Source organism: Homo sapiens, chromosome 15, assembly GCF_000001405.40.
Source record: "Homo sapiens chromosome 15, GRCh38.p14 Primary Assembly".
NCBI classification, from domain to species: Eukaryota; Metazoa; Chordata; class Mammalia; order Primates; family Hominidae; genus Homo; species Homo sapiens.
Genome location: NC_000015.10, coordinates 39163110 through 39180322, shown reverse-complemented (window position 1 = coordinate 39180322; position 17213 = coordinate 39163110). Strand labels below are relative to the sequence as shown.

Sequence of the window (17213 nt, the reverse complement as noted above, 5' to 3'; positions counted from 1 at the left end):
AGATTTGAAATATCTACATCTCCCTGGCCTGATGACAACCCTTATAGTCCATTTAGATGAAAGTAGCATTTGGAGTGCTTTTGGTGTGAATTACCCATACAACCACTCTCAGCTGCTGGTCCCCATGCCACGTAGGAGTCTCTCCTCCTTCACCAAAGGCATTTCCTTCCCTTGGATTGTGTCTGGAAAGCTTACCTAGCCACAGGGGGCAATAGTGTCTCCAGCAATTCCTCAGAGAACACCCAACTTTGGGACAAAGTCTTAGACTTTTATCATTTAGGGAGACAGTGATTTTATTCTACATAATTCTCAAGGCAATGGAATAGATGATCAGCTTGGAGAGTGATGCTTCATGACATCCCTTTTCCTTCACACTGGCTTCTAAGAACTAGCAGAAAGCTGGAGAAAACATTTTGCCTACGAAGGTTTGACCAGGGGCACTATTTAGCCAGGGCTGTGATCACAGTTCTGAAAATTTATATTTACTGGGCATAGGGAGCCGAGTCCTGGAAAAGATCAGAGATTAGGAAGTAAGATGATGGCATCAGTGTAGAGACTCAAGGCGTCAAACATCCTCAGAGTCTTTTACAGGTTCTCTAGTGTGTTTGCCTGGAGACCTTTATCTGGATATTCTTCTCCTGTCTGTTGAAATAAGGGATAGAAAAGGGGAAGCAATGCCCTTGGTAAAATAAATGCTAGTTTGATGTGTAGATAAGATGTCTGCAGTCTGGAGAGCTTGAGATTGAGGTGGAAGAACCATATTTGAGCTACCACATGGAAAAAACATACCCATGTGCCTGTATTCATATATTTTCATAAAGTCTCCTGGTTTCCTACCCCAGGGAAGAAAGATAAGCATGTTGGCATATGGATTAGTTTGGGAAGAATACAAATGTTTATGAGCCATGTTTTTACATTAAGTAAAAGTTTACTTAATCCTGTGAAAAATAAATATTCTTATAATTTAGATTATTAACTCAATGGATGGGAGAACTTGAATGAGAATTTAGACACTGCTTCTTACTTACTAAAATATTAACAGTTGGGCAGCTTTGAAAAGAAGTAGAATAGAGGCAGCTTTCTCATTTTTTTTTCCTTTGTGGCTGGAAGAGGTGCAGGCAGCCGAAGCTCATTACTGTAGTGGCTTCTTTTCTTGCTCTTTTGGTTGATTCCTGGCCTCTCCTACTAGGGAGAACTTGCAATCAAACTATATACTTTGCCTCTCAGGGGCTCAGTTTCTTCCTCCAAAAAATTATTGAAAATCCCTTCCATCTGTAACATCTAGTGCTTTTATGGCTTAAAAGAAAAACATCACTGTCATAATTGCCATCATTAGGATAAGCTGCCTCAATCGACATTTATTTAGTGCTTCTTTGGACCCAAATAGGGCCCACCTGACAAGCTTGGCCAGGAGGGGATTAACTGAGGGGAAGCCAGAGAGGAGAGACTGCCAAAGACCTGACATGCCTGAAGTCAGAAGATGGACTCTGATGGCAAAGCAACCTGACCTCGGCAAGGCTTGTCAGGCTGCCTGGAAGGCAAGCCCACTCCCATCCTCCTGTGCCTACCCAACCCACAACTTGTCTTGATTTTGGTATTGAGATAATTAAGGAAAAAAATTAGATACGTAGCTATACATAAAGACTTTGATCTACCTATTTACCAATGAGGTAATGGTCATTGTTTTTTATATCATGAGAAGGCCTACAATGACCAGCGAAATGTATAAATGAGGTGGGGGGAAGTAAAAATCTTTTAATTTTGGAAATGAAGAGAGACAGCTCTGAAAGAGAAAGAGACAATGGTTAGCATTCCTAGTTTCTCCGCTGATGCCCGTTAGACCTGCTTCCTGACTTCTGCCAGGACTTGGCTCCTGCCACCAGGCAAATGTGTTCCAGGAGGCATCTAGCATCTTGCAGACACATCCATGTATCTGAAACCTGTGGCAAATGAGGAAGTGAAGGAGATGCAATGAAAGAGGTCAATAAGGCCCTGATTATGGGATCTATGCCAGGCTAGCCAGCAGGCCCCCTCCCCTTTATTTGTAGGTTTGGGGCTTTATGATCAGATGTGTCTTAGGAAGATCACACTGACTCTGATGGTGCTGGTTTGACTGAATCATTTGACTTTCTAGGACATACCTAGCACAGTAAACAGAGCGTTGCAGCTACACTGAGAAATAGGTGAAAGAAAGTGCTCAAGAATCTAACGTTAATTCCTCATGGCAGCACATCTACAAGCTCAAACATAAAGACAAGTACGATGACTCTGAAAACATAAGAATGAGTAGCAAGTGCCACTCTCTACACCAAGGCTGCATACTTATGCTTTACCATTGATTATCTACTGATATGGGACCAATGCATGGTTTTTATGCCCTTAACCATTGAAATAGAAAAATACTCTTTCTTTCCCTGCTTCGTGACCAAGGATGAATCAGATCACCTTGTTACACTCATTCAATGGGCATAACTCAGAGAAACCCTCCCAGTGTGGGAAACTGAGAGTCAAGTCCTTGTTCTGACACGAATTGGAGAAACCACAAAAATTGGCATGGCTTGTGCCTGCCCAGTTGGCATAACTGCTCTCAAATGGCCTTTGACACGCTCTGCTCCTGCCTCTGCTTGTTGGTGAGTTAAAAAATGCTCTGGATGAGTCAGCTGACTTTCTACTATAGCTTTCAGCATGGGCCGGGCAATTCTCTTGAAAAGCCTAAATCTGACTTCTATACATGTCAGTTTGAAAGGGCATAGGTGTATACTTCCCTGCTCTGGAAGGATAAACACATGTTACGAAGTGAATCACTAGAGAAAATACCATGTTGACAATAGTGTTGTTGCTGGAATTATTACTTCTCCAATTGATGTGGGAATACCTGTATTCCCCCATTACTCTCCTGTTCAGCTCTGGTCTTCTGAAAAGCTGGTTATCAAAATGACACTTGGCACAGCTTTCCAAAATTGCTCACTCATTGTGATTAACTGCCATTGATTGCTGAGAGAGTCACTAAATGGATCATTTGATGACAACAACCATAGATGTGGGGTAAATGACTTCTTTCTTGTCTAGCAATAGGCAGCCTTTGCAATGGCCCAAAGTGATGAGTAACAAAAATGCTTTTTTTAAAAAAAAAAAAATTGACGTCATCATTTTCTTTAGTGACAGCACATTGCTCTTAAAGTAACAAAAATATGTGAAGGTAAACTTTTTTGAACATAGTCAAATTATAAATTGGGTTAGACTGTGGACTGAGCCCCATTATTTCATTTTAATCTAGGGATTAATTCCTATTTCAATGGTACTCAAAGTGTCATCCACAGATCCCTGGATGTACCAATATCTTTCTAAGTGGTTCATGAGGTCCAAGCTCCTTTCATAATAATACTCACATATTACTTGCGCTTTTGATCCATTGATATCTCCACCAACTGCACCAAAGCAATGGTGGGTAAGACTGCTGGTGCCTGAGCGGAAATCAAGGCAGTGGCACAAACCATACTAGCAGTCATTGTCGTCTTCACTGCCACATGCTTGCAGTAAAATATCAGATGGCTTTTACTTAAAGATGACCTGATGAAGCAGGAAAAAAAATGATAAATTTTGTTAAATTTTGACCTTTGAGAACGCCTGTTTTACTATTCTGTGTGACAAAATGGGAAGTGACACATAAACATACACTTGTGCTGTAGGTTCAAGTATCACGGTTGTCTAAAAAAAAGTGTGTACTTATTTGAGTTCCAAGTCAAACTAGATATTTTTTCCATGGAACACCATTTTCATTAAAAGAATGACAAATGATAGCTATTCTGACTTGGGTCTTTCAAGGATATTTTCTTAAAATTAACAAAGTCAGCCTGTCACTTCAACAGAATGGAATTTGTTGCCAATGACAGAATTTAAACTTTCAAGTAAAATTATGTTTTAGAACTTACATCTGTCACCAATAGCTTGACAGCTTTGCAGTATTTAAATTTGTTCTGGTAAGGTTAGTGGCAATAATAATGACTGTGGTTTTTTGATATGGTATAATGAAATTTGTCAAAATGTTGGCGACATGCAAAAAAGAGTGAACAAGCGTTTTCCAAATGATCAATTTATGGTGTTACACAATCCTGTAGGGGTAAAATCTCTGTTCAAAGTGTAAAACAGACCAATGAGTTTTAGTGTAACGGAGTGTGAAAGCTTCACTGACATGGTTTCATATTCCATATTGCAACTAATACTCAAGAACTACTGCTTGTCAGATTGCAGTGTCATGATTATCTGAGAAAGGCATTAAAACCTTCCTCCCTTTTCCAACCAAAAAAGCAGATCATAACAGATTAAATACAGAAACTGATATGAGAATCTAGTTATCTTCTAATTAGATTTTTTTGTTTTAGAAAATATAACTATCTTCACAAAATATATTAGCTCTGTTGACATATAATGGGTTTATTATTTTTAAATAAATAATATTTTTAAAATTTAAGCCTTAGTTTTTGGTATGATAAAAAGCCACAGACATAACCCACATACACAAAAGTTCTTTGAAGTCCTCAGTAATCTTTTAGCATGTACAGGGCCCTGAGACCAAAACATTTGAGAAGAGCCGTTTTATTTTAAGAACTATGTCGTACCAAATCTTACGACAGCTATTATCATCAACCTAATAGGAAACACTTGTATTGAACTGAAATTAGAGGCATTCTATTGATTGATCATGTTATATGCAACTAATTTTTTTCAGCTGGTCACTTGACATCTGTTCACTAGAATATAAATAGCAATTATTTGGGGGACAATTATTGGAGGCAGGGAATAAAAAATCTGATAGTTAAGATTGCACTTATTAGAAACAGGTATTTCAACATTATTTTAGGCATTTTGAAATGTAAACCTCCTTTAATTCTATAATCAATGACCAAAACTTTGCTGTGGAAGTAGATATATTTGTTAACTTGGTATTTAAAATTTTAAATAACAAACATACGTCTTTGCCTCAACTCTCATTCTGCATTTCTGATTATGACTTTCCTCTGCTCAGGCATACAGATTATCTCCATAAACACAAAGAAAAGTGCATCTCAACACCTTATCACACATTCAAAGTCCTGTGCAATTAGTCCCAACCCTCACTAGCCTTATATGCTGCTTTCCTTCTCCCTCTCATCCATCTCCACTCACTCTGTACAACAGCCATGCTAAACTTTCTCCAAATACACCCTTTCCTTGCATATCTGGGGACTTTTGAATCCCCTATTTCTATTCTTGAAATGCTTTTACTCCTCTTCTCCATGCAACAAACTCAATCAGGCCTCAAAATCAATGATAAATTTAACCTCCAATAAGAAGCTATATTTTCATTCATTAATTCCCTCAACAAATGGGATTTGCTAGGCAATGGTTAGACATGGTCCTTGCTTTCATGTGTTATATAAATAATAAACGATAAGTGGCACAATTGTGATGAATGTTTGTGTAGAAAAGTTTCAGGATGCTTTGAGAATCTGGAATAAGAAGATTTTCCAGGGTCAGGGAAGGCTCACCTGAAGAAGTAACACTTGATCTGACCACCAACTAACAATAGGGATAAACAGGAAAAGAGGGGAGGAAAGTGCCCTAGGTGGGACAAGGCTTTGTAGCAAGAGGGAGCATGTGTAGAATAGGGGCAGTAGGAAGAGCACTGTGTCTGGTGTGCAGTGAGTGAGAGCACAGGACATTTGAATTTAGAGTAGAAACCAAAGCAGGCAAGACCATGTGAGCATGTTAATGAGTTTGTCTTTAACCTGAGACTTACGAAACCATTAAACTGAAAGGTTAATGGATTCTCAGATTTGCATTTTGAAAAGATAACTGTGGTTGTTGTAGGAGAACAGAGTAGAGAGAGGTCAGATACAAGGCAGGGAGATCTGTGATGAGGTTATTGTAATAGTCTAACTGCACAGAAGTGGTTGTTTGGATTAGGAAGTAGAAGGAAAGAGGTGGATTTAAGTGACTTCAGGCAGTGAAATTGAAAGGATGGTGCGTGATGGATTGGCTATGTGGCGTAAGGGAGAGACAGGTGTCAGGGATGATACCTGGGATTCTAGCTTGTGCAACTGAATGCATGAAGTGTCATCCATTGAGCCAGGCAGGCCCTAGAAGAAAGGCTTAGGAGAGAGCTCCTGACTTCCCCAAGAAGTAGTGACCACTGTGGCCCTAGTGTCATACCATTATTACGCACTTTTCTTTGTGTATGGACATTTGCCAATGTTGAATTTGGGGTTGTTGGTATTGTCTGCCCTGCAATGGAAGAATCCCCTATTATGTGAGCCTTTATAGGAGACAGAACACAACTTCCCAGTACAGAAAACAGAATGGATGAGATGCAATTTCTGTTCAACCCTGACATAAAGGTCTCAGACAGGTGAACTGGGGTTTGGCAATTATTTGCTTCCATATTAGATTTCGAATTTGGAGCAAGTAGAGAAAAACTGAATTGATAATTGATTTCACTATAGCAGTGTTCAGTAGTGACCATAGAGGTGACTGACTAGCTGAGATGGCAGTGGTGTCTACCATAGGCCGTGGCAGTGGTGCCAGGGACAGCATTCTAATCAGGCTGTTTCTGCAGCGTAAACTTTGCTATTAATCCTGCTGCTTATCCTCCCTTAATGCCTACCCATTTTCTGAATCTGCTTCCATGACCTTCTGATTGAGGATAAATTGATGATGATGATGATCATGATGATGATGATGGTGGTGGTGGTGGTAGTGGTGATGGTGATGATGGTTAACAGAATGCTTCATATGAGTCAGGCCCTGCTCCAGTTAGTTCACATATATTCAATGCATTAATCCTTCTGCCCTCATCTGACGAATGAAAATCTGAAGCCCAGAGTGGTTGAATAATTGGTTTATAGGTCCTACAGCGAGTAACAGATAAAGACAGAATGGAGACCTCAAAGCCTGGCTCCAGAACCAGCCTTCTGATTAAGAATGGATTCTGTGGCTTGTAACCAAGAACCCTGGCTGGTACATTTGGTTCTGTGGTCTGTTTTCCCCTGGGAGCCCAGAATATGTTAGGGGTAAATATTGGGTATCATTTTGCCTCACACAATACACTTGTAGTTGACATTCCGAGTACTCAGGGTAGCAGCGGGAATGGTTCTCCCATGATTCATCTCCCCTCCTTCCCTGCAGGCACACATAGCCCTGCTACTTGCCTCTGCTCAACTGCTGCACGGGGTGGGATCGCGGCACCGCACTCTGGTAAACGCTTTCTCCGCTCCATGGTACTGTTAACCCAGGGTTGCAGGTGCCAAAGCAGGAATGAAAGCTCCCATTGTACAACACCCATGCAAGGGATCCATGTAGAGGTTTCTGTGGGGACAAGGGAATGCTGAAAGCCAGCTGACAACACAACAAGACAGAGTGAAACTGTGTAGTTTCGATTCCCCGGGAGTGGGGGAGTCCGTTTGTTCAGAGCAGCTGCAGCAGCTCAGAAACATGTAGTGTCCACATTCCATGTGCAGAACTCTCTGTGCACAGAGCCAGTAAAGCAGCAGCCCCTAAAGGTGATGCTGCCCTTCCCTGGGGACTTCCTGTTGCCCTTGAAGCCTTTCAGTGCTGAGTTTGAAAAAGGTCAACAAGGCTGAATTTGGGATGAGGGCCCTGACCGAGAAGCTCCTCAGAGGACAAAGGGACCGGGAGTCAGGGGTCTGGGGTTACTCTGTGGCTTCCAGGCTACTGATGTGGGACATCACATGGCACAGTCTCTCTGGAGCTTCCTTACCAGAGAGTCGGTGTGTAACTGCAAAGTTTCCCTGACATTCTTGGATAACTTGTGACCTAAAAGCCATTCAAACGGGGTTGGAAAGACAGATTGTTCCTGCCCTAACATCTTTGAGGATTGCAAGGTTCTCTAACTTGAGCCCAGAGACAAAAAGCAGTTCGGAACCGTCCTTGAAACTTTACTTCCTTTCCTAAGACTAAGACAGGATTTGAGAGAGCACAAATGCATCAGGGAATGCAGGCTTCCATTCCCATTCACCACCACCCTCACTCCTGTTCTTGAAGGAGGTGGCAGTCCTTACCATTCTAATGTATGTGGTGCTCTCTGCTGGCAGCTAAAATCTTTTTGTTCCCTGAAACAGGATGCCTCTGTAATCCTGAGTCACCAAACCACAGGGAGCAGCTGAGAGAGGATTTGGCTAACAGCCAGTGTCTGGGCCCTCCCACTCCCTAGAAGACCTCCTTCACCTGTTGTATGATCAACTACCCTTCCTATCAAAATGCAATTGCAATTAAAACCCCTACTTCTCCTCTTCCCTCTCTCAGTAGCTCTCTACTTGGGGTTGTCATACCCTCCCGACTGGGCCAAAGCTGCAGCTCTTCTTCTACGGGCAGGGCGCCTATCAGGAAAATGGGTCTTATGTTTCTCTCTTTTGTTTTGTTTTCATTTTGTTTTGTTTCTCCAAATGGTAGAGCCAAGGGCAACAGTGCCATGAGGCAGGGGTAGGGTCAAGGAATGCTTTGATGGAAAGGGGAGGGGGGCAGGTATAATGCCTCTCCTTCACAGCTTGCATCAGCAAACACCCCCACTTCATATATGTGTTAAAGCCAGGTGAAAACAGTATGTTTTCTATGAAAATGCAACTCTAAGACAGATCCCCCGGCCCCACTTTCTTGTCAGATCATTGCTAGTACCCAACTTCCTGATACAGAAATTCTTGGTGCTGCCACAGCCACATGGATCAGAGACCAAAACCAGCTTCAAAAGGTCACAATCTATACCATCACTCATTTTTCATGACTGATTTTGTTAATTCCTACCTATCGCAGGTTGCCCTCAGAATGGCTATTCTCCGTCAATGTCCATCACAATAATAAGAAATAATAAAAAAAGTAGCAGGAAACCATAGTTATCCTTCTTCAAGCCAAGAAGACACACATCAGAAATGCTGATAGTGGGTTATCAGAAGAAAATATATTTGCGGACTTATTTTTTAATTAAAATGTGAGAAAAGCAAGGTGCATAATTGTATTTGTAAAAAAAATGGCTGGGGGAGAGGTAAAGGAGTATGTGTAGGTGTGTGTGTGTATATATGTATATATCTTACATATGAGTAAACTATCTGGAAGGACTCACAAAATTAATAATGGCTAATATTTATTGGCACTTATTTTGTGACAGGTACCATTCTAAGCATTTTACAAATATTAATTCACTTAATTCTCATAAAAACTCCATGTGGGAGGTATTTTATTATCCCCATTTTTCAGGCCGGAGAACCAAGGCACAGAAAAATTAGGTATTCTGCCTGAAGTTACATGTCTGGGGAGCGCAGAGCCAGAATTAGACTTGAACAAGCTGTTGGCTGCCTCTAGGAAGGAGAACTGGTTGGCTCAAGAACAGGAGTGAGGAGAGAGACTTTTCCTTTTATATCTCTTTGTACCTTTTGAATTTTGAACCACAAATTTGTAATATATAGTCAGTGCATACATGAATATATATTTAAATTAATAAAATAACTTAGAAATATAAAATTAAAAATTAATATTAAAAAGCAAGGAAAACATACATGTTTTTTCTCTACCAAGTATGCTATCTAGAGAGTCGGTAGTAGTGCAGTGGTTAATGACTCAGAGGCAGACTGCTTGAGTTCAAATCCTGCCTCTGCCAATAAACTTGGACAAATTTATATTCTCTCTGTGCCTGTGTGGGTTATTTTAAGGATTAAATAAGTTAATAGGTGTAAAGTGCTTAAAAGAGTATTTGGCACATACTAGTGGCTAGATATATATTTGCTTTCATCATCTAAATTTAAAAACCAAAACTCATTCAACAGTCAATAAATATTGAGTGTTTATTGTATGCCAGACATCGTTTTAGGCTCTAGATATAAAGCAGTGAATAAAACCGAAAAAAAATTAAAGATCCTTGCCTTTATGGAGCTATTAAGTCCTCAGAGACTGAGAGAGAACATTACTTGGGGCAAGAAAATAAAACAGGCATCATAAGGTAGGAGAATAAGTGATTGAAAAAGAACATAAGATGTATAGTATCCATTCACATCAGCAAAGTCTCATGGCATGTCACATCTTCGGCAAAAAATGGGATTCATAGATTACATAGTATAGAATCCTTCATTATTCTCAGAATTTATATAAACCCCTCAACCTAGATAAAAGTAACAATAATTTCTCATATTATTTATTTACAAGTCCTTTCTACTTCGAAAGGGGATTTACAATGGAGCATAACCAGAAAATTCGTCTTGAAAAGAAAAAGATAACTCATATATGTGTACTTTGGAACTAGAAGAGACTCTAGAAAAATTGTAGTCGTAACTTAAATAGCCTTGTGGAAAGTAAATCTTTTCAGACTGGTTTCATTTCTGTGTGACTCGATGGTCAAGAAAGCATTGTGATGTTAATGTATCTCAGAATCATGTCGGGGGAATGTGTTAAGAGAAACAGCCTGGCTGATCTAACAGAGACACACATTCATTCATTTCACAGCCAATATTCCATTGGGCATGGTTTCTAAGTTTTGGAAAATAAGAATAAACTTTAAAGAGAGGTTGGAAAAATCAAGAACTAAAGTTAGGGCCTGTGGACAATGATATCCTGTGGTGGAGCGATCGAAAGCCTGGGCATGGCATGGCTTCTTGCTCCCTGCAAGGGTACACTTTTCACCTAATCCCAAAAGTCTTTCCTAGGCTTGTTTCTCTCTCAAATAATTAGCTTCTCCAAACACCCAGCAAGGACCATTGTAACTACTCGGTGCTTTCTCTGCTCTTATTTGCATCCACGTGGTATCCTCTCTGAGAAGTACTCTGGCTGAGCTCATCTGCATGGCAAGACAAAGTAGAACATAATGAGGCTATACATGATAGGTGCATACTAATTTCTGATGTTACTTTAAGAATATTTCAAAATAGCATTTTGCTTCCATTTTTGTTACGGGAAAATTCATTTTTGTTGTTGTTACGAGTGAATCCAATTTTTCTACATTAATAGGTAAGATACTCTCTGTCCTTATAAGTTCCACAAGGGCGAGAATGTTTGACTATTTTCTTCATTGTTATGTCCCCAGCACTTAGAGCAGTGCCTAAATGGACACACCAGATGTTCAATAAATACTTTTTCCTAAATGAAGAAAATAGACATAGAACCCACAAAGTAAATGATGCTAAATTCTAAAAAGAGTTGAGGAACTGAGACCCAAAGAGTTTATTGGATATACCTCAGGCCACAAACTAGAATGCATCCCAGGTCTGTGTGACTCTGAATTCTACCCTCTCTTTGTAATGCCAAACAAAATTATACTAATACCCTCCAGCTTCACCTTAGATCTAGAGGAACAGAAAGCCTACATGGGCTGTGGTGCTGTACTTAGGTTTAGTTTGTTTGTGCTGTCTTTTCACAGAATTGAGAGATTTTTAAAAATAGAGATCCCTATATTCCACAATGCATACGTCTAGCTCTCCTCTTTTCCCATGCATGCCACTCACCTCCATGCAGATAAAATACAGGTGCCATGGAAGATGAACAGCATCTGCTCACCAAAGCAACACAACAGGTGTTTCTAGGAGTCCCTGGACTATATCAATACTGCTAACTAAACACATAGGAAAAGAAACAATGAAAACTCTGTGAAAGCAAGGGTTTCTGTCTGTTTTGATCACTGAAAAATACCAATCACATACTATATCATCTAAAAAAATAGAGCTGAAATACTAAGGAAAATTTAAAACCAAGAAAATTATACACCTTGGTTTTAACTCACTGCCATAGCTGAAATAGCCAGTTTGAATATTCATTGATTTCATTTTCCATACTTTGAAATGATTTGCCATGTATTGGTGGACATCAGAGAAAGGGTAATGAAAACAAGTCATGGAAAGGTATAAGATATCCCTTTATGCTGTTCTGATAAGTAATTTTGAAGCATCCACACATTTTGTTATGTTCTATTTTGATATATTAAATATTATAACATGACCAGTAGGAATTTTGCTTGATTTATAACTAATATTTTCTTAAGTGCTTTTAGTTTTGTTGCTTCTGTATCCAAAGTTTGTTTCAATCCTGCTGCATGAGTTTTATTCCTGAGGGCCACTTTCTGAAAGCAGAATATCTAATTCGGGAACTCAATCCCATGGAGGTTAACTGTCCTACAAACTCAGGACACTAAGGGGAACCTCAAACGGAAAGTGCTTATGCCAGAGGTGGGAATTCATGAGATATAGCAAACATTTATAAATACTTAAATAGAAATCACTGCCATGTCCAGCCTTAAGCCTCTGCTTAATCAAAATTCTATCACATAGCAGTGGGTTGCTTTTTCTAGCTGTGATAACCAGAACAATTTTCCCATGCTACCAAGTTAAAGAGAAGAGAGCTTAAAAATACATATATAGGTCAGGTAATGTAACCAAGAGGTAGCCCCTGGTAGGGGAAAGGAAGTGTTGTGGACTTCGGTCTGATCTGGAATCCATGTGATTCCAACAAAGGCTTTTACCTCTTTCCTGGAAATAAGTGTGATTGTTGGAAAAGAGGAAGAACAGACTGAGCCCCATCAGCAGAACAACAGAGCTCTCACTCCTTGCTTAGTTTCTTCAAGGATCAAGACCAGTTTTACCATGTGATAAATGAATGCAGACCTTCCTACTGAGGTAATAAAGAGGTCATTACTTCATAAAGTATGATGATTTACAAAGTGTGGTAATGTCCTAACAAAACCTAAGCAATGTTTCACTCTGATTAGAGTGCTTTGAATGTGAATAAAGGACATGTGAAGACTGATACATGATTTAATCAGTTACAAAGACCACAATTCGTATGTTAAATTCATGTCTTTTAATTTGATGTCTACAATTATTTGTTCATAAGACCACAGGTGATTTACCGAAAAGAGCTATGCTTGTTGAAAACTACTTTGCTTAGAAATATGCCCTGTGCTCCCATTTCAAATATTGCATCAGTGGAAAAGAAAGAAAACATTTCATTGAAAATTCCCTTGTGTTTTCTGCTCCACTGATACCATGATTTATTTTCTTCACGAAGAACAAGGAGTCACCAAAATTTCAAAAATATTTTCCATGATACCAGGGCTAATTTTTCCAAGGCTTTTATCTTGAATAAGCCAAGCAACTTCCAAATGCATTTTTATGTCATTTGGGAGTATTTTTCTCTGTTTTTCATTACTACATCTTTTCAGTTTTTGCCAACCCGATTGTGAAATGATAAAAGAAAAATCTAGCTACTGCGAAATCAATTAATGACTGCCACTATTAGTCAAGCAGGTAGGATTTGGATTAGTTTAGGTTATAGAATGCCTTCTCGTATTGTGTTAATCATGTGTAAACAAGGCACTCGTATTTAGAACAAACATTCAAGTCTATTTGTTATAAACTTTTGAGAATTCTAACTCTATCTGATTCTTCTTCCCCCATTCTCCTCCCACTGTCTGGAGGTGACTGATAATATTGTCTACAAACCGTTTTCAAGATCTTTAAATAATAAAATTGTAATATACTGCTTTTCTGTTTGAGCAGAAATGCTTCTGTGATTAACGATGTTTTGGTAGTAGGGAAAAATAACAGCCCTGTAACTAGTTCTGTCTTATGTAATCTATCTGAGGTTATATAGTCAGAGAGTTTTAGATAATACACAATATTTAAATGATATCTTCTCCCTAATTTGTACTGATCAAGAGGAAAGTTGTATCCAATTCCATGTTTGCTTGAAGAATGCACCTATGTAGAGGTACAGAGCAATTTTTCATATGTCTAACTTCCTGCTTGGGGTCAATGGTAGATTTATTTTTAGCTCAAATGACTTGGAAGTTATATGTAAAAAAAGTGTTATCATTTCATATACACATCAGCTCATTGATACCTGTGCACATATGAGTTAGGAACAATTTGTATTTTGACTTGATTTGCTTTGCCTTTCTATATGCTAAATAAATGAAAGAAGAAAGAGATAAACTGTGGCCCTAAGTGTATGTAAACTTCAACTCATTCCAAATTAGAAAAATTTTATTCAGTTATTTTCTCAAAAGTCTTATGACAAAGCAAATGGCCCTAGACAGTTCTGCTGATGATGGGAAGACAGCAAAGAGAAGAAAACAGATATGAAAGAATTTTTCACATCACTCAGGAAAGGTTATCTTTCCTATTCCTCAACTCTCTCAATATCCTTCTAGTAGTGGCACCCAAAATAACAAGATGATAAGCCAGGCCCAGCAATGAGCCCAGGGAGTTCTTAGGAATTAAGACCTCTTGGGCAATGGACTCCAATAGGAAGAGTCAGAGACAGTCCCATTGGACTGAAGGCTGCCTCTTCCTATCAGCTCTGAATGCTACTCACATCATGGTCACTACCACCCTCCTTTGAGAAAATATTTTGTTAATTTTCAAATTGTTTTGCTGACTACTAAAGGAATACCCCAAAAGGTTAAAAAGGATGTGAATGGATAATTAAGTAATTAACAAGAAAAGAAATCCAAGTGGCTACAGAATTTTTGAAAAGCCACTGAAGTCTAGTTTTAAACTGACAAGAACAGATCCTAGCCCAAAGGCTGAGAAGCAATTAGGATCTGGGTTTAAAATGGCCAGATAACATTAGACATTTTTCTCATCTCCCAGAAATCACCCAAATGCAACAGAGGTACAAGACCCAGACACACAAACTCCAGTTTTGATTAAACTAACAGACTTTTGAAACTCAGAACCACAAAATAGAAGGAAAGGCTGCCCAAAGTTATAATAGGCAACAGGGAAGTGGGAAAGATATGGAACATGCGTGTAGCTGCAGATCTCAGAGAAAGCAGAGCCCAATTCTCCTTCCAGTGGCACAGCCTGAGGAGAACAACTTGCTTGACACAGTGGGAAAGCAGTGTATGAGTTGGTTCACTGTGCCTCCCTGGATTATTATTTTTTTTGGTAGGCAATCTAAAAAATATGACAGTGTGACAAAACAGGGATTTATAAAGAAAAGCCATTTTGGAGGAAGCAGTTTGTGAGACCGTAAGAGAAGGAGAATGTACTGCATTATGAGTAATTCTGCAGGGCAGTTCTCAGTTCACTGAGAGAACTAATGGCTAAAAATATTCACTCATACACACATCACATGTCATTAAAAAATTTTTTTTGTATGCAATAGAGCCACAGCCACATGCCTATATAAATCTGAATTAAATAGCCCACTAAGAATTTACCTCATTTGTATGTGAGTAATCATCAAAAGGAAACTATCACATGACATCAGAATTTCTCAGAAGTGGGAATGGGGTGAGAAAGAAATAAGAAAAAACAGACACTTCACCAAAGAAGATATGTAGATAGAAAATAGCATATAAAAAGATGCTCAACACCATGTGCTATTAGGTAATTGCAGCATGAAAAAACAATGAAGGATTATCGTACACAGAATGGCCAAAATTCAAAACGCTTACAACACCAACTGCTGGTGAAGATGTGGAGGACTGGAAACCTCATTCACTGCTAGTAGACATGCAAAATGCCACAGACACTGTGGAAGACAGTTGGACAGTTTACTACAAAACTAAACAATGTTACCATATGATCCAGGAATTGCAATTATTGATATTTACCTAAACGAGTTGAAAGTTTATGTTCATAAGAAAATTTGTTCGCAGGAGTTCATAGCAGTTTTATTCATTATTGCTAAAACTTGAAAGCAACCAAGATATTCTTCAGTAGGTGAATGGATAAATAAACTGTTGTATATCCAGGCAATGAAATACTATTCAGCACTAAAAAGACGTAAGGAGTGACATCAGTAAGATGGTGGGCTATGAAGCTACAGGCTCTCTCTTCCCCACAGAGAAACTGAGTTAACAAAAATATATGAACCAGAATACCGCTGTGAGAACTACAGAGACCGGTTAAGATGCTACAACACCCAGCCATTGTAAAAGCAAGACAGGATTCCAGTGAAAAAAACAGAAAAATCTTCAGCATTTGTGCCCCTTCCCCTATGCAGCATAGTAGAGAGCTACTAGGAGAAAACTTTCCATATCAGGATCCCTCCCTCAGGACACATGTAAAAGGTGGATCATACATCCAACTTTCTGGCTCATCTGGGGGCTGCTTGAGGGACTAGTTTCTGTCTTGCCTAATCCAGAGCATTGATGATGGGATCAGTGCCAGGGTTTGAAAGCAGATGAAAAGAGATGAGCCCATATTAAAGCTGCAGTTCCACAGTTATCAGAAGGAGCAAAAGGTCAGAAAAGGTTTGAGAAGTCCTGGAACCTCCAGCAGGGCCAAATGGGTGAAGGTCTTCCCCTTTACAAAGCCAGCATACAAAAAATATCAGTGGTGGTTGTTTTTCCAAATGCCTAAATCCCAGCAAAAGAAATAATAAGGTATAATGGACAGATGTTTGTGTTTCCTCCAAAAGTTGTATGTTAAAATTGAATCCTCAATGTGATGGTATTTAGAGATGGGGTCATTGAGGGGTAACTAGGTCATAAAGGTGAAGCCATCATGAGTAGGATACCCTTATAAGAAGAAGCCAGAGAACTAATTCGCCTTCTGCTGGTCATCTGAGGTTATATGGCTGTCTGCAACTTAGAAGAAGGACCTTGCCAGAGTCTGATCATGCTGTCACCATGATATTGAACTTCCAGCCTCCAGAACTGTGAGAAATATGTTTATGTTCTTGATAAGTAACCCAGTTTATGATATTTTGTTATAGCAGCCTGAAATAAAACACAAGGCATATAAAGAAGCAAAAAACACATGGCCCACTCAATGGAACAAAATAAAATTCAAGAAACCAACCTCAAAAAACGTATAAATCTATCACCTGCCTGATAAAGAATTTAAAATAACTATCATAAAAAATACTCAGTGGGCTAAAAGAGAACACAGTCAGAAAACTAAGCAAAGTCGGGAAAACAATGCCTGAACAAAATAAGAGCATCAACAGAGACAGAAATTATAAAGAACCAAATAGAAATTCTGTAACCGGAAAATACAATAACTAAACTAGAAATTTTACTGGAATGGCTCAACAGCAGACTTGATAAGGCAGATGAAAAAATCAGCAAACATGAAAAGAGGTCATTTGAAATCATTGAGTCAGAGGAGCAAACAGAAAAAAGAATGGAGAAAAGTGAAGATCGCTTAAGCGACTGTTGAGACACTATTAAGGGTATCAACATACACATTATGGGAAACTCTGAAGGAGTAGAGAGAAAGAGGAAGAGAGCC

At 39.1% G+C, this 17213-nt stretch overlaps 3 long non-coding RNA genes across 4 annotated transcripts in view, besides 4 other annotated features; 1 reads left to right on the top strand and 2 right to left on the bottom strand.

Moving 5' to 3' along the window:
- LOC105370777 (uncharacterized) overlaps positions 1–17213 on the top strand; it is a 556255-nt gene that overhangs the window by 240738 nt on the left and 298304 nt on the right. The window lies entirely within an intron of this gene.
- LOC105370780 (uncharacterized) lies at positions 294–6728 on the bottom strand. Of its 2 annotated transcripts, none has more exons than XR_007064591.1 (3): positions 6644–6728; positions 3390–3570; positions 294–506 (listed from the first exon to the last, which is right to left on the bottom strand). It is a non-coding gene; the product is annotated as an uncharacterized LOC105370780 (long non-coding RNA). The 2 variants fall into 2 exon arrangements; XR_007064590.1 differs by lacking the exon at positions 294–506 and adding an exon at positions 1736–1940.
- Positions 7048–8003: an enhancer, noted in NCBI's record as "NANOG-H3K27ac hESC enhancer chr15:39464521-39465476 (GRCh37/hg19 assembly coordinates)". NCBI's record gives its function as "activates a minimal SCP1, AML or CMV promoter by ChIP-STARR-seq in primed H9 embryonic stem cells {active_cell/tissue: H9 hESC(primed)}" and the evidence as "EXISTENCE:reporter gene assay evidence [ECO:0000049][PMID:30033119]".
- Positions 7048–8959: a biological region, named in NCBI's record as "NANOG-H3K27ac hESC enhancers GRCh37_chr15:39463565-39464520 and GRCh37_chr15:39464521-39465476".
- Positions 7981–8275: a silencer, noted in NCBI's record as "tiled region #8206; HepG2 Repressive DNase unmatched - State 8:EnhW". NCBI's record gives its function as "represses a minimal TATA promoter and a strong SV40 promoter by Sharpr-MPRA in HepG2 cells {active_cell/tissue: HepG2}" and the evidence as "EXISTENCE:reporter gene assay evidence [ECO:0000049][PMID:27701403]".
- Positions 8004–8959: an enhancer, noted in NCBI's record as "NANOG-H3K27ac hESC enhancer chr15:39463565-39464520 (GRCh37/hg19 assembly coordinates)". NCBI's record gives its function as "activates a minimal SCP1, AML or CMV promoter by ChIP-STARR-seq in primed H9 embryonic stem cells {active_cell/tissue: H9 hESC(primed)}" and the evidence as "EXISTENCE:reporter gene assay evidence [ECO:0000049][PMID:30033119]".
- LOC124900600 (uncharacterized) lies at positions 10158–12721 on the bottom strand. Its single transcript, XR_932142.3, has 3 exons — positions 12491–12721; positions 11481–11587; positions 10158–10816 (listed from the first exon to the last, which is right to left on the bottom strand). It is a non-coding gene; the product is annotated as an uncharacterized LOC124900600 (long non-coding RNA).